At 37.3% G+C, this 26,959-nt stretch overlaps 1 protein-coding gene and 1 long non-coding RNA gene across 11 annotated transcripts in view, besides 2 other annotated features; one reads left to right on the top strand and one right to left on the bottom strand.

Moving 5' to 3' along the window:
- Positions 1-9,070, top strand: part of ACSS3-AS1 (ACSS3 antisense RNA 1) — a 32,061-nt gene extending 22,991 nt beyond the window's left edge. For 2 of the 5 annotated variants that reach the window (XR_001749226.2, XR_001749225.2), the window contains one exon: positions 8,136-9,070. This is a non-coding gene — a long non-coding RNA (ACSS3 antisense RNA 1). Of the gene's footprint in view, positions 1-43; positions 165-8,135 lie in introns of those variants that run through there. The other 3 variants (XR_001749229.2, XR_001749227.2, XR_007063390.1) reach the window with 2 other exon arrangements.
- Positions 1-24,997, bottom strand: part of ACSS3 (acyl-CoA synthetase short chain family member 3) — a 183,340-nt gene extending 158,343 nt beyond the window's left edge. For 4 of the 6 annotated variants that reach the window (XR_944720.4, NM_001330243.2, NM_024560.4 and 1 more), the window contains exon 1: positions 24,437-24,789. Coding sequence is in view for 3 of the 6 variants with exons in the window: in NM_024560.4 (NP_078836.1) it covers positions 24,437-24,747 (311 nt within the window). In the remaining 3 variants the exon portion in view is untranslated. Of the gene's footprint in view, positions 1-24,436; positions 24,790-24,905 lie in introns of those variants that run through there. The other 2 variants (XM_047429549.1, NM_001330242.2) reach the window with 2 other exon arrangements.
- Positions 6,863-7,364: an enhancer, noted in NCBI's record as "NANOG hESC enhancer chr12:81489283-81489784 (GRCh37/hg19 assembly coordinates)". NCBI's record gives its function as "activates a minimal SCP1, AML or CMV promoter by ChIP-STARR-seq in naive H9 embryonic stem cells {active_cell/tissue: H9 hESC(naive)}" and the evidence as "EXISTENCE:reporter gene assay evidence [ECO:0000049][PMID:30033119]".
- Positions 16,012-16,639: an enhancer, noted in NCBI's record as "NANOG hESC enhancer chr12:81480008-81480635 (GRCh37/hg19 assembly coordinates)". NCBI's record gives its function as "activates a minimal SCP1, AML or CMV promoter by ChIP-STARR-seq in naive H9 embryonic stem cells {active_cell/tissue: H9 hESC(naive)}" and the evidence as "EXISTENCE:reporter gene assay evidence [ECO:0000049][PMID:30033119]".
- Positions 24,998-26,959: the final 1,962 nt, after the last annotated feature.

Here is a 26,959-nt window from a genome sequence, read left to right as displayed (position 1 = left end):
TCAATGCAGATGACTCTCAATCTTCTCCTTTTTTTTTTTTTAGATGCAGTCTTGCTCTGTTGCCAGGCTGGAGTGCAGTGGCGTGATCTCGGCTCACTGCAACCTCCGTCTCCCAGGCTCAAGCAGTTCTCCTGCCTCAGCTTCCTGAGTAGCTGGGACTACAGGTGTGCACCATCAAACCCAGCTAATTTTTTTTTTTTGGTAGTTTTAGTAGAAATGGGGTTTCAACATGCTGGCCAGTATGGTCTTTATCTCTTGACCTGGTGATCTGCCCGCCTCGGCCTCCCAAAATGGTGGTATTACAGGCGTGAGCCACTGCACGTGGCCAATCTTCTCCAATTTGAAAAGTGAAACATAGTTTTAATTTTGGTTTCTTTGGTTACTATTATTAAGCCACACATGCCCTCCCCCACTTATGCTTCCTGCACCCTCACCTGCGCCCATGCACATGCACAGACATCACACAAACTTTTCTGGGCCTAGAGTGTAATTTTCTGAGATAGGAGGAGTTTCTCCATAGAGGATCCTGTACAAGATTTAAGACTTGTGGAACAGGAACAAGGCTCTATATGACTTCCGGAAAGTCTAGAAATCCTACTCTCATTGCCTCTTCTTCCTTAAACACTCATAGGAAGAAGGATTTTAGTAACCAAAACCTCCATTAACTGACAAGTGAAAAAGGATCTTTATTCAGATTCTGAAATGTACTTCACTCAACTACCGATATCTTGACACTCAGATGAGTGCATGTGTGTATATAAGTGTGTGTGTGTATATATATATGTATGTGCTAGAATATGTGTGTGTGTGTGTGTGTGTGTGCGTGTGCATAAAATAGAAGAGAATATAAAGCCAGGGTATGGGGAGAGCATATTTTCAACATATTTAACAAGGGAAAGACATATTTGCAATATTTAAAGTGTTTCTACAAATTAATAAGAAAAAACTTAAAAATCCAATAGGCAAACAATTTCAGCATGATATCCACTGATGAAAACAAAATGAAAATGACCAGTAAGTATAAAAAAAAAGATGCTCAACCTTATTAACAGTCAAGAAAATTAATATTAAAATTATAAGATGTCATTTGCCCCTCTGACTTGATATTAAAAAAATCATACATAGTTATAGTGAGAGTGAAGAGAAAACAGCATTCTCGTATAATGTTGGTGAGCAAATAAATTTGTTCAGCAACTTAGGAGGGCTCAAAATCAGTATCTATTAATATTTTAAATACATATTATGCATCGTTAAAGGAATGCAATGTATATGTGATATATACATATATCAATATGAAACAATGATCAAAATTAGCTTTTTACACAGCCAGAGCAAGTTGCCTGTGTATCTATGTTTTGTATTATATAAATGCACAAGCAGTATGGAAAAATGCTTAAGAAAATAATAGTGGTAAACTCCAGGTAAGAGAAAAATTGGAGGGCAGTAATAGAAAAGGGATAGTCTGTATTTTTATGTAATAAAACTTCTGTGTTATTTGAGTTATTTGAGCACGTATTTACATACTGAATGGGTGATTTAAATTTTTTTAAATAAAAAATATAAATTTTAATGGTCTAGCTTGCTTAGCTTTTGGTTTAACTGACTCATTACCTTAATAGTCAGCTTAATTATAATCAAATAAAAATATTTAAGTAAAAATATAACTTTAAATTTTTCTTCTGGTAAAAAGAAGCATTTCTTCCACTTATAACAACATCTAAACTCAGTTTTATGAAACTAAAATCTGGGCCATAAAAATTTTGCTTCTGCCTTTTATTTTCTCAACAGAATCAACCTCAAGCAGCTAAAAAGTCAATAATAACTGGCTACACAGAACCTTCAGATCACAAAGAGAGATATGCTATCAATCATCATTCCTGCTGTCTATCATGATTTTGGTTGCCTTCCTTCTAGGCATTTGTAAGATTGCACTTTCATACCCACTTGAAATGAGGCATGGCCATGTCGCTTTCTGTAGCCCAGGGCCTAACAAGAGAAGGAATGCAGGCAAAGTAGTCTCCAAAAGCCAGTGGGTACTTACTACATATCCTCCTCCCTGCCTCCCTGCCACAAAAGCCTGTGACATCCCAAATGTTGACTGTACTGTCAGCCTATATCTCTGAGTGAGGATGGATGGCCTGGGGCAAATCTTCCTAATAACCCAAGATCAATTTGTAGGATGAGCGAGAAATACCTGGGCTATGATGTACTAGGAAGATTTGGGGGTTATTTCTGCAGCATAGCCTAGGCTATTCTGACTGATATAAGATTCTTAAGATCTATCAGTTTCGGCAAATTCAAATAAACTTTGAAATTGTTGTATTTCATAATTTAAGAGGCAGAGGGATGCACTCCAGGGCAAATGAAATGGGTAGAATCTCAGCTCCTGTAAATAAATAGTCACTACAGAAATGTTAGATGTCCTTGTAAAGAAGTCAAAGATGCACCTTCATCATGTAAGCTCTCAGAGACAGGACTGAGGGCCTCCCCAAAGCGATCTGTAAAGAAGATAGCTTTTAAAATTCCTTTTGGACTTCTTATTTTACATAATTTTCTATTTTCTCCTATAATCACACCTGTGAATAGCCACTGCACTCCAGCCTGGGCAACATGGCAAGACCCCATCTCAAAAAAAAAAAAAAAAAAAAAAACTGGTAATTTTGCATTTGTCCTTGCCCCTTGCTCATTAATGCCTGCTAACTCACATCCAGCATAAAAACCTGGACTCAGCCCTTTGAGAGACTCTTGCTTGAATCTGATTTGTTCTCTTCTTCACCTTAGCCTACCCTGAGTCTTCGCTGTCTTTCCTAATGTTAACTTCACCCATTCTATGTTTGACTGTGGCCTTGTTTATCAAATTAGTGAGACTGGGGCATGTATTTGGTTCACACATTGAGCTAAGTCAGTGAACGTGTGTGGATATCTGAAGGGTTTTTAAGAGGTAGGGAGCCTGTCCTCCATGGTCTTGATCTCTGGGTGCCAGAAGTGGCTAGTAGTAAATGTTTACATGATTCTTCTCTTCCCATCAATTTTTTCATCACTGCCAATTTCCATCCTTCCCTTTTCTGAGAGCTAAAAATTTTTAATTTAAATATGTATTTACTATTCAAATATTATAAAAGGGAATAAGACTGATACTGAAAAAAAAAGTCTTCTTTCAGAGTGAATGATAGCCATTTTTCAGAGAGTAACGGACAGCTTTTAATCTGCAAATTTGGTTACTGAGCTACAGAAAGTTAAATTAGTAAAATCTAAAATGTTTCTCTCAATTCCACCATCCTCTCCCATTCCAATAACAAAGCTTAATATATTTTTAACAGTGTGGCCTATAATATGAAATTCTCAAAAAGTGCCATATCGCACTTTGTATGAAATAACTGTTGAAAGCTTCCTCCAACACAACCATATTTAGTTGTCATAATGTTGCAACTTTATCTGTGTTCTCAGTCACTGATTTCTGCACTTTGCATGTATTTATTATTAAATAACTGAAAAGTTCAGGTTTATATTTACTTTCTGTTATGAGCTTCCTTCTTAGAATAACATTACAATTTATTTCCTTGATGACCTCCTATATACATGGGTCTTCATCACAATTTATAAATAAATAAACAATAAAACAAAAGAACTTCAGGCTCTTTTTCTAAAGTAGAATCAACCAAAGCCAACATATTGGAAACAATTCAAAGATGAAGGCTACATTTGATTATCTATATACTAAAAAAAGGTGAATATATAATCTTTATAAAAAAATTCATTAACTCATAAGAAGACTACAACAGATTAGAATCCCAAATATTAACTATAATAATTTTTCTATTCAAAAGTGTTTCTATTTAATACATTTCATAATAATTTTCTATTGATTGGACCAGAGACTGTGAAGGAAGGGGAAACATTATAACTGGGAACATGTTCTCCACTCTCAAAACGAAGACTGGTTTGCAATAACTATGATAAGATGCAAAATGTGGCAAATTTCCTGACAGAGGTACAAACTAAGCATGATGAAAGCACATAATAAGAAAGAGATTAATTCTAAACTAGGGAATGTGGTAAGGAGCTGATGGATGTGAAAAGGAATGTAGTACAATGTTAAGGCCTGAGCTTTGAGGCCAACAGACTAGAGTTCGAATCTTAGCCATGTCATTTGCTAGTTATTTAAATGACTGCAGACAAATTAACATGTTTAAGACTTTCTTTTTTCATCTATAAACCTTAGGGAAAAATTTTAAAGAATTGTATCAAGACAATGCTATGAGCATTTAACACAAATTAACTCACTTAATCTTCATGAGGACTCTGTGAGGTAAATACAGTAGGTCTTCATTTAACATCATCAATAGGATTTTGGAAATGGAGACTTTAAGCAAAATGACATACAAGGAAACTAATTTCACCACAGGCTAATTGATATAAACAAGTGTTAAGTTCCTAGGGCATATTTCTGGTCACAAAAACATCATCAAATTTCTAAATAAGGACCCAAAACACTTCTAATAGTAAACACTGAAATAAATATGAGCTATCCATACATTTAAAAAAGATAAATAACAACCACTAAGAGCATTATTTACCCAATTATTCAGCTCAGGGTTGTGGGCGGCTGGAGCCTATCTCAGCAACTCAGGGGACAGGGCAGGAACCAGCCCCAGACAGGACACCATCCTATCGCAGGGCACAGTCTCACACACACACACACACACACACACACACTCTCTCTCTCTCTCTCTCTCTCATACTGGGACCATTTAGATATGCCAATTCACCTTATGTGCACATCTTTAGGATGTGAAAGGAAACCAGAGTACCCGGAATAATCCCACCCATACATGGGTAGAACATGCAAACAACACACACAGACAGTGGCGCTGCCCAAGAATTGTTCTTTTTTTTTTCCACTTCAATATTACAACAAAACAAAGTTGAACAAAATGCCGTTATTCAAGGACCTACTACATCCAATAATCCTCATTTTACATATGAGGAAACTGAGGTAGAGACAAGTTTCCTACCTGAGGTCCACACACAATGAGTGACACACTGGTATTAGTGTTAGTTGGGCTCTGAGTCTCAACTATTCTGTGTTAATGTGTTAATGTGAGAATGTTCATGCCTTCCACGATCGTAATTTTATACACATTTCATTAGCTCCTTTCAATAACCACATCAGACAATTACTATTATTACACACATTAACAGATGAGCAGACTGGCTAAAGTGAGTTAGGAGGGCATAGCTCTATGGTCACAGGTAGAATGGGCAGGAGCAGGACACAAGTGGAGGGTGATCATTTATAGTGTTTTGAAACAATGAAGTGTGTTGTGATAACAAAGATGGAAGCAGGGAGGTGTTTGAGAAATATGGAATACTGTAAAGGAAAATTTTAGAGGCAAACAGGAAAAGAGTAAGGAAAACGAATACAAAAGAAACCAAAGTTTTAGGGCCGGGGTCAGCAAACTACAACTCACATGTCAAACTGGTCCACTATGTGTTTGTGCAAAGAAAACATTATTGGAACATATAACTGATTTATGTGTATTCTCTGTGGCTGTTCTTGCTCTACAACAGCAGAACTGAGAGATTGCAATGGAACTGGTCTGGCCTGCAAAGCCAAAAATATTCAATCTGGTCCTGAAAAGAAAAGCATTCCCACTCCCTTCTCTAGAGCAGCTCTGTCTAGTAATTTCTGTGACAATGGAAATGTTCTATGTCTCTGCTGCTCAGTAGGGTAACGACTAGCCACATGTGTCTAACTAAATTTAAATTTAAATTAACTAAAATACAATAAAATTTAAAATTTAGTTTCTCCACCACAGTAGCCATCATATGAGTGCTCAATAGCCACACTTGGCTAATGCAACTGAGAAACTGATTTTTAAAGTTTAATTAAATTAAACAACTTTAAATTTCTACCATAAAGACACATGTACACATATGTTCACTGCAGCACTTTTCACAATAGAAAAGACTTGGAACCAACCCAAATGTCCATCAGTGATAGACTGGATAAAGAAAATGTGGCACATATACACCATGGAATACCATGCAGCCATAAAAAAGGATGAGTTCATGTCCTTTGCAGGGACATGGATGAAGCTGGAAACCATCATTCTCAGCAACTAACACAGGAACAGAAAACCAAACACCACATGTTCTCACTCATAAGTGGAAGTAGAACAATGAGAACATATGGGCACAGGGAGGGGAACATCACGCACTGGGGCCTGTCAGGGGGTGGGGGGCAAGGGGAGGGATAGCGTTAGGAGAAATACCTAATGTAGATGACCGGTTGATCGGTGCAGCAAACCACATGGCACATGTATACCTATGTAACAAGCCTGCATTTTCTGTGCATGTATCCCAGAACTTAAAGTATAATAATAACAAAAGAAGAAAAAGAAAATGGTACAAGTGCATGTCCGCTTTTAAGTATCCATGTTTTTTTGTGTACTTTTGTGTCCTCCCAGACTCTCTGCTTTCTGTAGGCAGGGACCACATGCTAGTTCATTAATGGCACACAACAAATGCTCAATGATTATTTTAAAATAAAAGCTTGTAAGTGTGAATAAATGTGAAATGTAATATACTCTCCTGACACATTCTCCTTACAAATTCTCTCCTGACACTTTCTCTTCTGACAAATAATAAAAAGACTCTTATAAGGTAAATAGTCAGTGCTCAGCAAAAACAATGACTAGCTCAAAAGACTACTGTTGCACAGAAACAGAGCAGGCTTTAAGTATTTTTAAGAGGGCAACATTTTGCTTTATTCACACAGTGATATCCCATCTGAATTACAGATACTTGGCCTTTGGGAAGTATCAACTGACTGTTCCAGGAAACTCTCCAAATTGGGTAATTGCTTACTTGGAACAGAATAATAGCCTTATGTTAATTTACCACTAGGGATATTGTTTTTGTGAAAGTACTTGGAAAGCACATCTCTCCATAGCACAGATAATTATTTTAACAGAGAAACCTGATGTAAAGACAGAGGCATTCCTTAGTCCCACCGATCCTTCCTACATGAGTATGTATACTCAGAATCTGGCCCCATCACACCATCTCTAGCCAGATTGTCCCATCTCGACATGAAAGGACAACATAGACATCTTCCGCCTTGCCAGATCATCTCGGATTAAAGCTAGGTGAATTGCCAGTGGTGAGAAATGCAGCCCACAGGAAAAAGAATAGAAAGAAAAGCTTTCAGGAAATCAATGCCTGTTATCTGAACTGAATCCACTGTCAGTGAAAAGACATGAATGAATGATCTTAAAGATTCTCCGGTTGTGAGTCATGCCTGACAGTAAATTCAAAGACGTTAAGGATACATTTTATCTTGTTTATTTGTATTCTAGAGGAAAATGCAGGAAAAACCAATAAGTTAAGTAAAAGGACATAGGATTTGGTTTAATCTAAAAAGGTAGAAAATGTAAAATGATAATTAGATTAATATTAAGGTTCAAAGTAAAAGATAAAAACATTTAGGTTTCAAAGCATAAGTATATTAAATTCAAATACAGTGCTAATAACATAAACTTAAAAGTAGAGTTTTTAAAGGAAAGCATGCTTCATCAGTCAGTCCTTTTCATAACACTTTAGGGACTCTCTTAGGAACAGTGGTCCCCAGTCAACCAATTCAGAAATGTCATGATGAGCTGGCAAAGAACCAAACTCCAAATGAGAGCAGGTTCCTAGAAACCAGACCTACAATCCAGAATGCCCCCAGGGCCACAAGTGGGTAACTTTGAAGAAACCTCAGAGTTATCCAGAGAACCAGGAGGGAGTGGAATGGAGGGTGTACTCTGCCTAATGACAGCTAGTATTTGTTGGAAAAAACAGAAGCATGTATTCCTGATGATAACAATAATGAAATGATGAACAAAGAAGGAAATGAGGAGAAGGAGAAGAAAGAGAAAGAGCAGCAGCAGCACGATGCAGGGGAGGAGGACCCCAACTAGCTGACCTGGTGTTAATGTTGCTCTGGTTAAGGAGAAATGGGAGGAAGACAGGAGAGCAATAGACAAGGATTGAAATTAATGTTTTCTAAACCTGAGAACTTTAGGACTATACATTTTTTCATTTTTTCATATTACATCTTTATCTTAACTATCCATTTCTTTCTCTTTCAGCTTATAACTCATGCAAAACAACATGCTGCAATGTTCTGATGAAATGCTCCTCTACAGTCGAGGCTCCCAGAAGGCAGAGAGCATATTCATTAACTCATTCTGCTCAACACTTAGCTCATGTCCATGGAGAGATGTTGAATATGAGCTCCTATTAAAAAGAGGGAATACAATCAATCATTTGAGAATGTCCAAAAAGAACTTTTCCTTTCCATCGAGCCTTACAAATTATTCTAAGATTGTTTCTGTAAATACCATGTAATTGGGAGAGATACACAGGGAGCGTCAATTGTGTCTGTAATGTTTTACTGCTTATGATAAAAAGATCTGAAACTAATGTGACAAAATACTAAGATTTCACAGAATTCAGTGTTGAGTGTCCTCTAAGTTATTATCTTTATTCTTCAAATATTTCATAAGGAAAAAGATGGTGGGAACTTACAATATTTATTATTTTTTTGGAGAATGGCTGGATAATATACATTGAAATCTGCTAAGAATTTACCAGAAGGAAGGAAAGAGAAACACACACACACACACACACACACACAGAGAGAGAGACAGAGAGAGAGAGAGAGGAAAAAAAAATATATCCTTGGAATGCCAAGCCCAAAGATGCAAGTCTATCTGCCGATTTATAAAAGCAAATAAAGAGAAACCATCTAAATGCCAATATGAAAGGATTAGGAAATATTTATATATTCACCCAATATGTTAAATATTCTGTATACATTAAAAATAATGAATTAGAAAAATGGAAAAAACACTTCTTACAAGTGAAAAAAAATGAGCTACCAAATAATATGGATGGATAGTACAATTCCATTTCTCTATAAGAACAGAAATAGAGATCCAGGGAGTCAAACAGATTGACAGACATAGATTCTTGATTTTTTAAAGGCATAACATCTACACATAAAATATAAATAAATAAGTGCAAAAACTGGTGAATCTGAATAAGACCTATAGCTTAGTTCATTGCATTATGCCAATGACAATTTTGATTTTAATAATGTACTATAGTTATGTAAGATGTTATTACTGGGGGAAGCTGGATTATGGATACAAATGAACTCTTTGCATTATTTTTGCAACTTCTTGTAAGTCTATAATTATTTCCAAAAAAAAAACACTGAAGGGAACTATACCTAATATAGCAAGATATTTGACTTTCCTGCATTTACCTAATTAAAATGTAAAGTAATACCTATTTTTACAGTGGGAAAAAAGGCATAAACCTACACTTTAATCAGAATTCTTTTTTTTTTTTTGGTGGCGGTGGGGACAGAGTGTCGCTCTGTCATCCAGGCTGGAGTGTGCATTGGTGCAGTCTCGGCTCACTGCAACCTCCATCTCCCAGGTTCAAGCGATTCTCCTGCCTCAGCCTCCTGAGTAGCTGAGACAACAGGCATGAGCCACCATGCCTGTCTAATTTTTTTGTATTTTTCAGTAGAGATGGGGTCTCACCATGTTGGTCAGTATGGTCTCGAACTCCTGACCCCAATTGATCCGCTTACCTTGGCCTCACAAAGTGCTAGGATTACAGCCGTGAGCCACTGCGTCTGGCTCAGAATTATTTCTGAATAAATAAATGCCAGTGAAAGTAATTTAAACATAAGTCTCAATCCTAGGCCTTGCATTTATAAAACCTCTCCCTTGATAATTAAATCACACTACATCTCCATCTAATGTCCAACCTATACCTTGCACCCAAAAAAAAACCTTAAACACACAGACACAAACATAACCTAGACATAGCCTCAAAGATAAATCCAACTACACTAAATAGACACCATTGGACATAACTTTAATGCTAAGCAAAACATAAAACTTTTATCCTTTTTTTCCTAGCCTTATACTCAAAATAATCTGAGAACAATGTTACGAAGTACATCTTTATTATATTTTTGTCAATTACCCCACTATCTCCAACCACATTCCTAGATGAAACGTTTCCCATTAACATTTTGATAATTTGAAACGTGAATACAGTGCAGCCTGCTCAATTATCGAAGATCTCATTATCTAGCTGGTGCTAAGAAACCCATTATCTCCCTTTATTCTCTCTTTTCTGATTTGTCTTTCCCTTGCCTTCCTGCTTGTTTTCACCTCCAACAAAAAATGAGAGGCTGCACAAAGGGATAAAATTAAAATTAGTTGTTTTTTTAATCTATTAAAGGATTCATTAGTTAGAAAATGGCCACTGTTCACCAAAATGGAACGCTATGTGCTCTAGTTTTTCACACCTCAACAATCAAAGGCAATTCAGAGTAGAACTGATTGTAGAATAAAATGGATTTTGTTACTCTTATTTTCAGAAAATAATAACTAGATAATCCATATCACTTGTTATTACTCTTCTTTTATTGAACAGGAAAACGAATGCTATTTTACTATAAGCAAAATGCCCTTTTTCCTCGCTTGATGTGTAACATTGTTTTTTAGAGTTAAACTCTATCTGGACTCTCATCTTGCACCTGGAATAGTGCCTGGTCCATAGAGGTCATTCAGTAAATATTGGATGAATGAACAAAATAAAGAAGAAACAAATGCATTAACAAATGAATAAACTCCAGGGCTAAAAAACAAAATAAAACCCACTTTTATAAATATAAAAGGCTAACAAACATATATGTGTATGTATATATTTATGTATGCACAGCTCGTTTTTAAATCTGTAACACTGGTATTATGAGGATAAGATAGGATTAATTGGGGAGGAAACGTGACACAATGAGAAACTGATACACTCTCAAGCATAGTAAGTCTGTTTTTTCATCCTAGATCTGCTATCTCTGCATGGCAAGTGAGCATTAGCAAGTTACTTAACTTTCCTTAAATTCTTGAGAACTCAGGATGCTTTTAAGAAGTTAAATTACTATGGTAAAAGGTGATGCTGTTATTATGTACCAACATGTTTTGTATCCTGTAACATTTTAACATACACATACACAGGTATGCACACTTAGAGTAAAATCATCTTTTAGAATTTAAGAGATTTTGATCTAAGAGTGGTATTATACGATTTCCATCAAATACTGTCTTTGAAATATTTAATTTTTTAAAACCCTCCTTATTAAAGTATTTTTTACTAATGATAAACTTGAAAATTAATATTTTTATAAATTAAGTAAACCAAGGTAAGAGAAAATTTCATCAAATTAGGTCTACTAAGCCTGTAATTACAAATTACATTTTCAGACTGCTCTTGAAATATTCTAGCGAAGTAAAACGATGCTCATGCTAGACATATGTAGGAGATCTTGAGCAGTCAAGACCCAATATTTTTAAATAATAATAAAATCAGTTTTATATTTTTTCTAAAATTCAAGCTTTTAACAGATCAAGATAGGCTTTTACTCTAATATATTAAAATTTTATCATAATTTATGATAACATAAATGCATTCTAATTCAACATTTTTATATGATTGCTATCACTTTTTCATTCTGTGATTTTAATTTTCTTAACATATTTACTAAAAGATGACAATCTGATAACATAATATCAACCCAACTCTTAATCTGAGATCCTTGGAATCTCATATGTGCCTAAGAGGCAACTTTTCCAGTTCATTCTCATATAGGAACAGTCAGCCCTCCATATCCACAGGTTACACATGCACAGATTCAACCAACCGTGAATCAAAAATATTTGAGAAAAATTAATTTTAAATAACAATATAATAATTAAAAAATACAAATTTGAAAAATACAGTATACCAATTATTTACATAGCACTTAATTGTTTTAGGTATTACAAGTAATCTAAAGATTATTTAAAGTATATGGGAGCATGTGCATAGGTTATATGCAAATATTACACTATTTTATATAAGGGATTTGAGCATCTGCAGATTTTGGTATCTGCAGGGAGTGGGTGGTGTTCTGGAACCAATCCCCCACATAGGTGAAGTATTTCCCTACCTTCCCTACTTGCAGTATATATGTATTTGTCTTGATAAATGGAAACCCATGGATTATAAAATATCCTCTACTACAGCTTAAGGATCAATGAATGAGCTAAGGAGAGGCAAAGGAAGCCAACTGCCTCAAAATAAAGCTTAGACCCAAAGCTTAGATGACAAAACTTCAAACTCTTTGGTTCCTTGATAGAGGATTTGTGGATTATTTGAGGTTCTGATTGGATAGATGATTCAGGTAGTATCTACCTGCAATTTATATAAAAAATCAGATTTAGGAGATGGATTAGAAGGTAAATCTGTATATGGTGAAGTTTTTAATGTCAGTTCAACTGATATATACAGAAGGCTTTGTGCATTCTGCTGCGAAGATCACAAATGTAATTTAGACCTGAACCCTACTCTCCTATTACTGAGTGGTGATGTGTCAAATTATTGGTAGAAGTATCAATAGAGCATGAGCTCACATAATAGATGTGAAGTGACAAAATGTAGATGAGCATTGAGCATTTTTGCCAAATTTGCTTAAAAGAAAACAAGATTGAAATGCTTTTTAGGAAAGAACCACTAAAGGTTTTAAGATAAAATCCCTAGAGACATTGAAAGGCGACGAAATCAAAAAGACATGTGCAAGTTGGCTCTGGGAAAACAGTGAGGACTTACATTTCTCTAAGATAAGAGGAGAGTGGAAAACACACAGAAACACAGAGAACAAATAAAGCAAAGGGAAGTTAAATCCCGATTAACATTTTTAAGAATGCTACATTGCTCTCATGCTTTTTCACTCTCTAGGTTCTGCTATGTAAAACAGAAGGTAGAGAGCATAATTACAACTTATAACTGAAATTAGGCTCTACAGTGTGACCCAACTGGGTTGAAAAAACTAAGTCCACCACTGTATAACTTCGGACAAGCCACTTATCTTTCTGTGCATTTGTTTACAGTATTATAAAAATGCATTATAAGAGTTGTTGGGAAGATTCAAAGAGATAATATACATATAGTGATTAGCATAGGGCCCAACACAAATCAAATTCTTCATAATTAGTACCAAAACAGCAGTACTATAGTCTTTGCCATTGTCATTGTTTTGTTATTATTACTATCACCATTATCATTATTGACGATAATACATCAGGTTACAGAAAGGAATGACTCAGTAACAAGCTAGAGAATAATCACATGTTAGTTTCCTTCTCATTCTATTACAGACTCTGCACATATATTTTTGACTCATCCCATAAACACTCAAAGGAAGCATTTAACATTTTTAGATCATTTGTTTTCCAAAGTTTGGCAATATCTATGGAATAACACAGGTGAGAGACACAACTCATTGACCTTGCACTGGATTCCTAAAAAATGGGATATTATTAGAACTAAGGGAGCCAGTTGCAATGCAATTTCCAAGAAATATATCTCTGCACTTAACATATGCCATTAATCAAGGTTTCTCCACCTGCATATCTTCTGCTTGAAAATGCAGAAGGGAATTAGGATCAAGATAAAAAAGAATGAAAGAAAAATAAAAAGAAATAGTACACATCAACGTATTTAAAAGTAAATAAAACCAACAACTTAACATATAAAGAAATCCTATTTTTTTATTGAGAGGTTGGAGGAGTAAATTTCCAAGTGTTCATAATTAGACAAATTAATTAGGCTATTTATCATGTTCTTATAAAAATAACATTAAAGCATACTATAAGCAATGAATAATGTGGTCATTATAGATTTTCCTTAAGCCAGAAAATCAACAGAGTAGTTTTAAGGAAGAGATTAATATTGCTTTCTATTGTCCAGGAAACATTTCTAAAGAAGCTGTCAACTCATTTAAAGCTCCCTTCCTCCCACCTTTAGGACTGTCATACACAATAAAAAATTAAAAGTTTATTTTTTCAAAGAACAGCTATTTTTTATTCCATATCTAGAATGTTTTTGAGATGTAGACCCAAACTTTAAAAACTCTTCTTATATCACTATTTAAAAAGAAAAGTAAAAACTTTAAACGGTTTCAGAGGAGAAGAGTTAAAAAATTTTTAAAAATCTAAAATTAATTGAGACTATTTTCAACAAGCAATAGAATATATTTAGGAGCACAGATGCTAAATTCAGCCAGCCTGGGTTGAAATCTTAGCTCTGCTATTTACTAGTTTTATAAGTTTAGGCAAGTTTCTTAAGAAACTGTATTTCCAAACCCTTTAAACAAGAATAAAAATTGGCCCTGCCTCACAGAGTTGTTATAAATATTAAACAAATTAAAACACTTAGTATTGTATCTAGCGCATACTATGGAGACAATAAAAAGCTTAGTTGTTAGCTGTTTTCATAACAGCTGTTTTTATGATAACAGATAATAAAAAGGTTAGCTATTTTATGATATACCTGACAATGTTTATGTACTTTAGCAGACTAAATTATCCCAACAGTCATAAAGTTATTATTTACCCCTCAATCAGTAAGGACAGGCTGGATTATGCCATACGGTAACGATTGCAAAATCTCAGTAACTTGCAAAAATAAATGTTTATTTCTCACTCACGCCACTCCATTGTGGGTTCAGGTAGACTCCCCAAAACATTGTCATCTATACGTTTTTGCTTAGCAATCCAAACTGCTTCTATTCTACATGTACTTCCAAATGGCCATGGTAGATGAGAAAGAACTAAGAATTGAAGCTCTGGCAATTAACTAAGTGAAAAGCCTTGCTCCTCTTATTGCAGTGGCCAAAGCTAATCGCATAATCACGTATATGTGGGGAAGACCAATCTTCCTACATATTAGCAGAAGAGAACAGACGAGAAAAGAAACAACACAAAAAATAGTAATACCCATCACAGTATGCATTTTATAATTCTTCCGTATTATAATTATTTGGACCAAGATACTGTTCAAAGAGTAGAGCCAAGATTTTGAACCAGAAATCAGTTTGTTTTCTCCACTAACTAATTCTCAATACTTTTTCCTCCTAACCACCAAAATTAGGGTATCCAACAAATCCCATTGATAAGAGTGGCAAATTTCATCTGTACTTAAGGAGGGAGAGTTGGGAGGGAGAGTTAGAGGAAGGCACAGTCTAGGTATTTGTGGTTTATTATAGAAAAATACTTGCCTCTCAATTGAAAATCAATGGAATTCTATGAAAATAAGAAAAAATGTATGGAGAGAATGCAAAGTGAGATTAGCGCAAAAGTGGACTTTTCTAAGCTCCCATGCACTCATTAGATTAAAGTTATTTAGCAAATGGACAATAATACGGAGTGACTAATTTTTTTTTTAGTCTTACTAAATTTTTCTACAGATATCTATACTGGCCAGATCTACAGTAGAAATTAAGCATTCTTTTTCTTCCTCCTTCTTTTCTTCTTCTTCTCTTCCTCTTTCCTCCTTCCTCCTCCTCCTGCTCTTCTTCTTCTCCTGCTCCTTCTTCTTCATCTTACCAAATTTATTTTACTTAACTGCTGCATCCACTTAGCAATGACACCTTGAAAGATTATACTTGGCAAGTGTTGTTATTCTACCATAAACACCTTAAGAGAAGGTATTCCTATTGTCCAGAGTCAGGTCATAAGTCAAAGACCTACAGACTTTAATTGCTTTCCTCCCTCTTAAGGCAATTAATGTTTTAAATTATTAAAGCCATATAATTAAACTCTGTCCCTCTCTAATTTAGTATTTGAAAGACCTTCTGTTTTTTACTATCCTCGTATTTCCAATTGGACTCCTTCAAACTCAAAATTCACAAATTTTAATTTTCCTAAGATATTATAAAAATAATACCTATCCTTTCTATGCACTGTTCCTTACCTCATTCAACTAAAACACTGACAAAAACAAATATAATTAATACCTTTAATATAACAAGTTCCCTATCCACGTAGTTTAGATAAAGGATTTGAGCTCCACATTCACATATACTTGAAACTGTAATTTAGAGAGGTTATTACATTCATATATATAATTGCAAAGATTCATTAGCCTCCTACACATTTTTCTTACAAATGTCACACCACAGTGGAAAGCAATGATCTCCCTCATGGAGTTGCAGCTTGTTGCTTATGAAAGTAGAATAAAAAAAAATAAAAAGAAGAAGAAGAACAAGCAAACAACTTCAACCACTGGATTTTTTTTGTCCTTTCAACTAATACTATATGTGGCATGACAAAAGAAAAGTAAGCCACCTTTCAGGCGGTGATAAGAGTGTGGATTTTCCCCCAACACCTAGTAGTTGATCAGTCACAGCCGATTGAATTTCCATTGTTCATTGATTGCGCCATTTGCCAGGCAATCCATCCTTGCTTATGTAATTGCAGCATTCCTGTAGTTCACTCTGTTCTGTCCTGAAGGTTCAGCAGCATGACAGGCTGAGAAAATTAGATACGGCACAGTACCAAGCTGCTGACCTTCAGAATATAAAATAAGGCCCATCTTTTAAAACTGGTCTTTCTTGATGAGGTTATTTTGAGAGGCCTTATTTCTAACAGGCAATTTTTCATGCCAAGCAGATACCTTCTTAAAATATTTTTAAATCTATAAAATAATGATGATTTTATATTTTAAATATACCTTTACTGTGTACAACGCTATGAATAAATTCATTTAATTTAGAGTTTGTCAAAAGGAGAAAAATTCTTCCTCTTTATATAACACTCTCACCTTCAAACCAGAATTAAATGTAATTTTAAAAATATCTGACAAATACTGAATTTCCCAAACAGTTTAATGTAGCTGAGCATTTGTTTGCCAAAGAGCCAAAGTTCAATAGGGGGATTAAATTGCTTTCTGGATACATAAAATCCCCATTATATTTGTATTTATTTTCCTTTGAAGCAATCTCAAACTCACAGAAAATTTGCGATTACAAGATAAAGTACTTTTTTTTTCCCTTTGAAACATTTACTGACATGATGCCCAAGAACCCTAGAATAATTTAATATGTAATTGTTATAAATAAGGACATTCTTCTAGAGAACGATACTATAACCATCAACTTCAGGAAACTAATATTGACACATTACCACCATCCAATCCTGAAATCCTGTTCTGGCTTCTTACTTGTCCTCAAAAATATCAATTATGGTGAAAATATTCAGAAACTACCTTTTGCATTTAATTCATATCTCTTTGGTCTCCTTCAATTTAGTAGCCAAAAATCTTTTTCAGGTTGGCCAAGATTTGGCAACCTGCCTTCGGAACAGTTCCCTTGATATTTGGAGGAAAAGATTCTGGGCTTAGCCACTGGAGCTATTAATACTAACCCAGGTCTAGCCTCTGCTAACTAGCTGTGTGGCCTTAAGATTCAATTCCCTCATATGTAGAAAAGGCATGATAATACTAACTTTGCAGCATCTGGGGAAGGAATAAATGGAAATATGTGACTCTACTGTATAGTTGATAGTTCAGAGAAAGGACTCAACAAATATTCATTATCTTTTCCCTTTTCAGCTGCTTCCTTATCCTCCCTGTCAGACTCACAAACAAATATTGAGATATTTAGCTCACTAGAATCACTGTAGTATTTAAAAAGAACAAACAGATCTACTGAGTACTCTTTATACCAATTCTGAGACTTTTGCAACCTGTTTCTTTCAGTAACTTGTAGCAGCAAAAGCAAAAAATTAACATAAGAAACCACACAAAGTTCAACTTGCAAAAACAAGGAGTCCTGTTGAGCAGTAGGCTTCAAAACAAGCAAAATTCCCTTCATTCCTATTTCATAATTTCTTCACTTCTGCATTTAAACATAGATTTCTTCTTAAAGGGAGGAGAGGAAATAAGGAATGAGGAAGAAACTTATTTTACTTGACCCAGATACCACCATACTGCCATATATTATCCTGTTTCATCTTCCTGTCACTGTCGAATATCCTCATGGAATGTTTTTGCCTATACCAGTTCACTCTGTAATGTGCTATTCTGGCTTTGGCCCTTATCTCACCATTGATATCATATTATAGAAAGTCATCAAGAATCTCTGAGTCACAGCAGATATTTTTTTGATTTTCAATAGCCTCAAAGCATCTCTAGAGCCCTTGACCACTATTTTTATCTTTTCTCTCCTTTACAATGCATGACACTAGAATATCTTGCTCTTTCTTTTCCTCTTTCTTTGAATGTCTCATCCATTTCCATAGTTTTTTTTTCTCCCACTTTTTCCCAAAGTTCAGTCCTTACTATTTTCCTCTTCTCTTCCCTTTCTTTCTCTCTTTCACTTCAACTTTCATAAGCTTCTACCTCTCACCTCTTTAAGATTTATACTAAAATCTATAATTCTACATCAAGTTCTCTCCCAGTTTTCAGCCTCGTAACTTTAATTGCCCCATCAATTCCTCATCTGGACATTTAAGTCAGATTCTTACAGTTACCATGTCTTTACTTCCCTGCATCCCGCTGCCAAAAAGTCACTATGTGTAATTTAATTTTTATTCCTGAAGTTCCTCTCTTTCTACACCTCCTGCTATTACCCTAGTTCATTAGTCACATTATTTTATGTTCTCATTACTCCATGTTTCCCAATATCCCTCATTTCCCAACCTACCAAGAAATATTGAAATCTGAAGTCAAACTTGGCTTCTGATAATACTTTCATCCTATCACCTTCTTAACAAAATGTTTCCATGGATCATTACTGCCTTACGAGGCACTGCAAACAAAAATGATCACAATGGAAAAGTTAATGGCTGGGACAGGCAAAGTATAATGCAATAGGGGTGAGGACAGTGAATAACAAACAAGCACATGCACCATTTAAAGGATCAGCAGCTGCTCAGTTCCAGCCGAGTGTTGCTGTGCAGGAATACTGACCCATCGCCGACAGACATTCCGGGTTTTTGTTGTTGTTCTTGTTTGTTTTTTTGAGACAGAGTCTCACTCTGTCACCAGGCTGGAGTGCAGTGGCACAATCTTGGCTCTGACTCCCTAGATCAAGCGATTCTCCTGCCTCAGTCTCCCAAGTAGCTAGGATTACCGGTGTGTGCCACCACATCCAGCTAATTTTTGTATTTTTAGTAGATATGGGGTTTCACCATGTTGGCCAGGATGGTCTGGATCTCCTGACGTCGTCATCTGCCTGCCTCAGCCTCCCAAAGTGCTGAGATTACATGCGTGAGCTGCTGCGCCCTGCCCATTTTTTCTTCTTTAAAGAGGAGACCAAGGGCCAGGCACGGTGGCTCATGCCTGTAATCCCAGCACTTTGGGAGGCCGAGGTGAGCGGATCACGAGGTCAGGAGTTCGAGACTAGCCTGGCCAACATGGTGAAACCCCAAATCTACTAAAAAAAAGTACAAAAATCAGTTGGGTGTGGTGGTGCACATCTGTAATCCCAGTTACTTGGGAGGCTGAGGCAGGAGAAATGGTTGAAGCGGGGAGATGGAGGTTGCAGTGAGCAGAGATCATGCCATTGCACTCCAGGCTGGGTGACAGAGTGAGACTCCGTCTCAAAAGAAAAAAAAAAAAGACCAAAAGCTGAATTTTTTACAGGAAATTTAGATTTTTATATTCCAATATTTAAATGCCAACAAATTAAACAAACAAAACTTGTAGGTCAAACAAAGCCTACCTGCAGGCTTTCAGCCCTGCTGTGACCTAAGAAGTAAATGCAAATGCCTTAGCTTGCTACTCCAAGCCTTTTAAAAGCAGGCTGAAACTATTTTCTGAAAGTAAGTCCCAGCAACTCAGACAAGCCACTAAAAGCCAGCTGGTCTACTATAACTATCCTCTAAGGACACTTGGCTTTTCTTACCTCTATGTTTTTGTCATCTTGTTCCCTGAACATAAATGACTTTCCTCCTAAGTCCTACTTTAAGATTCACTCTAAATGCTACCGCTTCCCCTCAAAACTTATTGGACCACATTAGCTCACGGGAGTATTTCTTTCATATTCCAAAGATAATCATATCTAGTTGTATGTGTCAGGGACAGTCCTAGGCACTTTACAAGCTTCTCTCACCCAATTTAATCCTTAGAAATAGATACCGTCATGATTCTAATTTTGCAAATAAAGGTATTGAAGCTTTCTCAGAGTAAGCGGCAAAGCTACGGTTGAACTCAAGCCTGTATTGACCCAGTGAAGAAGAAGGAATAGGAAATTTACATTTTGGTCATGTATTACCTGACAGGTATTATATGCCAGGAAAAAATTTAAAAATCCTTAACATAACTCAAAAGACCATTCACGATATGGCTCTCTCCTTCCATCTCAAGATAATTTTCTGTCATTTCTTAAGTCCCAACCGAGTAAACCTTCTTTAAGTTTCTGGAACTTACTAAACATGTCTACCTCATGGCCTTTGCATATGCTATTTTCTTTCCCTGGAATGTTCCTCCCCACTTCTCACATGTCTAACTCCTACTCATTTTGATCTCAGTTTAAACATCATTTCCTCTAGACCCCTCTCATGATCCTTCTAAAGAAGACAGTATCATATCCCCCAATAAAGGCTGGATTACCTAGCATCTACTGCAACTCTAAATAGTGTTCATCATGTTGAAAACCAGATATGCATGTTCTCACTTATAAGTGGGAGCTAAACACTGGAGACATACAGATATAAAGATGGGAACAATAGACACTGGGGATTCCAAAAGGCAAGGAAGGAGAGAGGAGGCCAGGGTCGAAAACCTACCAGGTACCGTGTTTACTATCTGGGTGATGAGTTCAATGGAAGCCCAAATCTTAACATCACACAATATGTCCATATAACAAACCTGCACATGTACCCCTGCATCTAAAATTTAAAATTAGTCTCTTTTGTAATAATTTAATGCATGTCTTTCACGCTGCTGTGTGGTGAGTTCCTTCACTATCTCTTTCATCATTTTCTCTGTACTGTACATGCAGTGGGTGAATGATTGATGTCCTTTAATTCTTAAAAGCCATTTTAAGACTTGGCAGGATTAAACAACCTTAATCTCAGCTAGTAAGGAATTCAGATCCTGCATGTTGAGAAACCCACAGTATCTTGACTACAGAAATGTTAGCCAAGCTTAAGTTATTTTCTAATAATCTGCATTTAGTTAGTCTTTTCCTTTTTGGTTTATAGTCACTGTTAATACATATTGATTTCTAAACAAATGGTATATGAGAATCCTATCATTGAATGTTGTTTAAATAAAAGTAAACTAAAATTGGATTGCAATGCTTCCATAGAAAGAGATAAATTGATGGCCCAGAGAGTCAACCACAATATATAATAGAAAAGTGAATTGACTAATCCTTCAGAGAGTGGCAGCTGGATTTCAATTTCAGGACAGGCAGCAGGATGTCTATCCGGAGAAAATAACCAGAAACTTCCACTTTGTTGTTCCAGGACTGAAGAAATTACTATGATTGCAGTTCTCCACTGAAGTCTCTCTAATAGAGACTTTATTACCCAAAGAGCCAGGTGTTAACAATATGGAGTAACCACCAAACTGTGAGGAGAAGCAATCACGTATAAACCCCTAAAGCACCTACCTGTAATTTGGATTTGTTTTTTGAAGGTCTTAGAAATTACAGGACTGGAAATGCATTTAATAGAGTCATTCACTACAATGGAAGTTCCCTTCCATATATCGCCCTTAAAGATTTATTCTCCATGTCTATATTACTGCATGCATAGAATATTGCACAGCTTATGTCATTGTGAAAGCTAATATGCAATACTATTTATATGCTGAGACTTTTGATAAGCCTGTGGGTTCTGAGGGGAGTTTACTTTTGTGAACAACAAACAGACAAGCTTATAATGAAGAATCGCTCTTGCCTCTGGGAAGCCGAAGGGCATCAGAGACTGTGACTACACATATGCCAGCTCCACAGAGGAGAGAACAATTAGCTATAGCAATCTCGCCTTGTTTTGCTTAAGCACTTGGCTGTCAATATCTCCCTTCTCCAGATCCCAGCTTCAAAGAAAGTAAGTAAAGCTCCTTCACACCAAATTGTGCCTAAATCCACTTATCACCTCCCAAAGAGGTGTCTTGTTTTATAGCAACAAAAATCATCAAAGCTATGTATCCAGTTAGTTGACTCTCACTTTAAAAATTTATATGCCAGCTCTGCCTTAGATCTTGCGGATATAAAGCCAAACAAAATAAAAGTAAATTCAGTCTGCCCTTCTGTTTGGCTTTGTGGAAATTTGCTAACCAATCAGGACTATCTTCATTTAGGTATCCAATGCAGTCATAGATTCAAATTGAAACTACTGACTAACTGAAATTTAAGATTGGTCTCCTACGTCTACTTCCCTCCCAACCCTGCTTGCCCAACCAGAATTCTTTTAAGATTGAATCGCACTGCTGAAATAAATAGAGTCAAAGTTTTATCACTTCTTCACTTTGATTTTCTGGGCATGAGTTCAAGACTGAAAAGATAAAGAATTCAGATACGGTGTTATCAAATTGTGATCTATAAAAATATAGTGACCCTTTCACAAAATTTCTCATTAAACACATCTTATACACACCATTTAAAAAAATGTAGACAAGCAACTAGATATTACAAAGAAAAAGCAAATTATTGAAAAGGAAATCTCCTGGTCTTAAGCTCTACTTGCTGGGACATTGACACTCACTTCCAAAGCTCTCTCCTGGGCCTTTGCTGATCCCTAATTGTCCTCTCGAATCACTCCAATCTGTCCTTTCTCCTCCATTCTTATTGCCACTGCCTTAGGTCTGGCCCTCACTGTTTTTCATTTAGAATATACCTGTGGCTTCTTAACTGAATTCTCTGCACATTAGTTTTATAATGGAGATGGCCACATAAAATCATTTATAGTACCATATTTTATGACAGATATTTGTACACAGAACTTTGAGAAACAGTGATGCAATAATCTCTGTGCTTTCATCTGAGGAATACTAGGAGAGTTTCCTGCTCCTAAGATAATTATGGTCTGAGAATACAAAGAGAGCTATTCTTCCTCTAACATGTATAGGGTCTAGTGTATAAAGACATAGTCTTCATCCTTTACTAAGTTAAGCCTCCAATTATTTCCATATTTGCATTTCAGGAAAGTGAAACACAGAGAGATTAAGTCACTTGACTGTGAACACACAGTCAGTAACTGTGAGAAGCCAAACTCAGACCAGGTAGTCTGGCCCCAGAGTCCATGCTTTTAATCTTTATGACTTCTAGAAAGCAGGGACTAGGTTTTACTCATTGTTGAACACCCAGTGTCTTGTTCACTGTCTGGCACAGAAAAGAGGACCGATCAAATACTATTGAAAAAATAATTGATAGGAAGGGGCAAGGTGCTCAGATTCTAAAGGGAACACCATGTCATCCCCACACACTTTTGAGAGGACTGGGCATGGTGGAGACACAGAACAGGCTCTAGCCAATTCCATTCCAGATTTCTTGCTCTGACCACAGAGCCATTCGTCCACTGCAAACCTGACCATATCATTCCCCTCATCTCATTGCTGAGCAGTGTTTTTCAAACTTTTACAGGAAACATCCTCTCTAATGGCTGGCAGATGAGAGCAATCACACCCCCAGAGGGCAGACACATAAGGAGCCACACTCTAAGAGTATCACTGACTGTGCTTCACCCTCAGTATCTTAGCAAGCTTGATATTTATTCTACAATGTGTCTGCGTTTGTTGTAACGCAAAAAAAATCATGCTTATAACTTCTTATAATTCCAACTCCAGGTGGAAGACTTTACTCCTACCATGACTTCTAACATCACCTGGCCTATATCTATCTGTATTCTTTCTGGGTACCCCATACTGCAGCTTCATATACACAACAGGCCTATGGATCTGATCCAAGCTACTTAGCACAGTACATAAATCCCTTCCGGACCCAGCCCCTGACTCACCACTTCCCCTCCCACCTCTCCAGCCAACACAATCATTGGCAGTCACTGTCTCAGTCACAGTTCAAGCTGTTGTTCACCTCTAGAACTTTGATAATTAGGGCCTTGTCGACTTCGAGAAGACATACCCATCCTTCCAAACCCTTATGGGGTGCGATTTTATTGAAGTCTTTTCTTAACCCTCCCTCCCCATAGTAGGAGGATACTTAGTTATAATTCCCTAGTTTCTTGTACCGCTTGCTTTGTTTACCTAGTATCTCCCTTACTAGACTGTGCGGTCCCTGGAGGCAGGATCTTGTTTTAGTTTTCTTACTATTCCCACTGCCAAAGCAGAACCTTGCCAGTCAGGTAAATCTCCCGTTTATGGGACACTGGGTTCACAATAGGTAACAGGGTCTCTCAAGAGCAGAAGGCAAGAGAACTGACTATGAAATTGAAATGAAACACGAATTGAGGGGTCTGAACACATCTCCAGTTTCAATTTTCTTTCGTGATAGAATGCCAGATTCCAGGTCCCAGGGAGGTCCTGGCGCCCAAAAAGTTACCAGGGATGGGGGATCAGGGTTGGCACAGAAGTCACTCACCACCTGGTAGAGGGCGAGTGTTTGTTCTCCAGCGTTTTGGTCCAGGGCTTGTACCAGCTGATCTGCTCGGCAGCTTTGCCCCAGAACCTCTCGGGGTCGGTCACCGAGGCTGCGAAGTGGGTCTTGTACTCGCTGCCACTGCCGGAGGACAGTGCCCTGCATCCCCGGCCCCCGAGACCGCCCCGCGGGCCCGGGACCACTAAAGCCCTGAGGGCCGCACCGGCTCCCCGGGCCGGAGAGGACCCAGGCAAGGGCCCTCCGAGCCCCCCGGCGCTGGTGACTTTACGACACTGCAGCCAAGACGGTTTCATCTCCTCCGGCCACCCGCGGTCCCCGAGTGTGCGACAAATGGTACTCTTGCAACTTCCTGGGGCCTGAGGGAAGGGAGTAGGGGGCGGGGGCAAATTCCGAAGTGAGCCCAGAGCCCAGAAGTTTGGAAGCCACACTAGAGTCGCCGGGAAAAACCGACCTGGAGCGACCAGAGAAGCAACAGGCTAAAGTGGGGGCCCCGGGACAGGGGTGTCACAGCGCCGTTGCAGCAGGTTAGTTGCGCTGCTGCACGAGATCCAAACCCCAACATGCACTTCCAACCCCGCAGCCTTCCGGGAAAAATCGCGCTCAAACTCCAGAACGTCCTTCCGATTTCAACACACAAGTACTCCTAGGAGGAGGCCAACGGCCCATCTCTCAATTTTCAATCCAGCAGTTTGTACACGGCTGGTTTAATCTTTGGAAGGTCGTTGGTGGAGGTGGCATCGCCTCTGACCTGCAGGAAACCAGCAACTCGGTGCGTTGAGGCAAGGCTCTTTGATTGTTATTTATTGATTGATTGATTTTTCAAAATCAGCTCAGTCCCTGGTTACTAAAAACACAAGCAGCTCCAGGGCAAGGACTGCTCCGGGATTTCCTGACCACTGAGAGGGTAGGAGGAGTGGAAGGAGGTTGTGCCAGACAAATTGGGAAGTGCTTCTTGGGGTGATTGACAGGTCACAGGGAAGGTGACCCCACTGGGATGCGGATTCACCTGCTGACCAGACTCCGCATGTGATCTAGACAGAGAACAGATAGGACTTGTTGCATTGCCTCCCTTCTAATTTGCCTGCTTGGAGTTTCTGTGGCTTTTCTAATGAGAAAACAAAACAAACAAATAAACAAAAAACAAAAATAGGAAGTAAGTAAAGATGAATCAAAAGAGGAAACTGGGAAAATGTAAAAAGAAAGGTGGTATATAGTACTGTCTAGGTTTAACATTCGTCAAGCTCCGCTATTATTCATGCTTTAGCGAGATTCAGATGCAATCTTTTGCCTTAATATTATGCCAAACACATTCTGTCTTGGTGTGACAGTATTTGCAGTTTTAAATGTAAAGATACGTATTTCCAAATCTGAGGTGAGAAATAGTGGCATGCCCCTGACCTTGGGAAGGATCATAACTTGAGAATCCGTAAACAAATGATTCTGCAGGAAAAGAATAATGTGGAGATAAAGGCTAAACAGAACAGAGGTAAGTGCAATGCAAAACAGAGAATATTTCTTTAAATAACCACCTCCCTTTCCACTGAGAGGCAAGGCACTAGACTTTTCCCTGACATCTGCAGTCTACTTTAGTCCTTCCAAAGGTCTCAAATCAAATAATGTCGAATGGCCAAAGACACAGTCACCATTTAAATCCAGAGAAAGTTACAAAGCCATTTAACCTCTTCATCCTTCCAGAACGACAGATTTATTATTGGCACCTAGCATGTGTTCACATTATACTGGGCACTTTAAACAAATGTTAGCTCCTGTAATTCTCATGAAAGTACCAAGAAGTGGGAATCATAATCCCATGTTTACAAATGGAGCTAGTATAGAGATAGATCGACTTGCCCAAGGCCACGCAGCTAGCAAGTGAAACAGTCAGGATTCAAACTTTATGGATGCCCAGTATTTCAAAGCCCAGATGCTTTGAATTACAGATATGCCGTGATACAATTTACTGACACCTCAAGGTGGAGGGCTAGGGGAAAACCCACTCTAATCCTGTCACTCACTCCAGGATACTGTGCAAATACGATCATTTTATCTCTGTGCCACAACTTGAACAAGGAGGGGAATCTGACTCCAAAGTCCACCATTTTAATTCCAGGCTGAGTATCTTCTACTTTAAAAAAAAAAAAAAAATCTTAGAATTCCAGTAAAATATGACAAATTGAATAGCCACATTCATTCTTCTCCTTAAAGAAACTCCACTGAAAGAGAATCAAAGAGGGCGGTTGTCGTGGTAAAAATCCTACAAGGATAAAGAGAACAGGAAAAGAAAAGAAACCAAATGAAAGAATAGAAAGAAGATGAATCTGTGGAATATGATTTAAAAGTGGGAGGAGGAGCTTGTGGAGGAGAAAATAGATTTTCCTAAGGAGAATCCATTTTCTCCTTAGGAACCTGGTATGTCTCAAGTTTTGGAGGTGCTGGGTTCCTCTGAAGGTTCAGAAGGAAGTATGAAGTTCAGAGCTTAAAAACAAGGAACTGATTACAAGATCA

Source organism: Homo sapiens, chromosome 12 (genome assembly GCF_000001405.40).
Source record: "Homo sapiens chromosome 12, GRCh38.p14 Primary Assembly".
NCBI lineage: Eukaryota > Metazoa > Chordata > Mammalia > Primates > Hominidae > Homo > Homo sapiens.
This window is presented reverse-complemented; position numbering and strand designations above follow the sequence as displayed.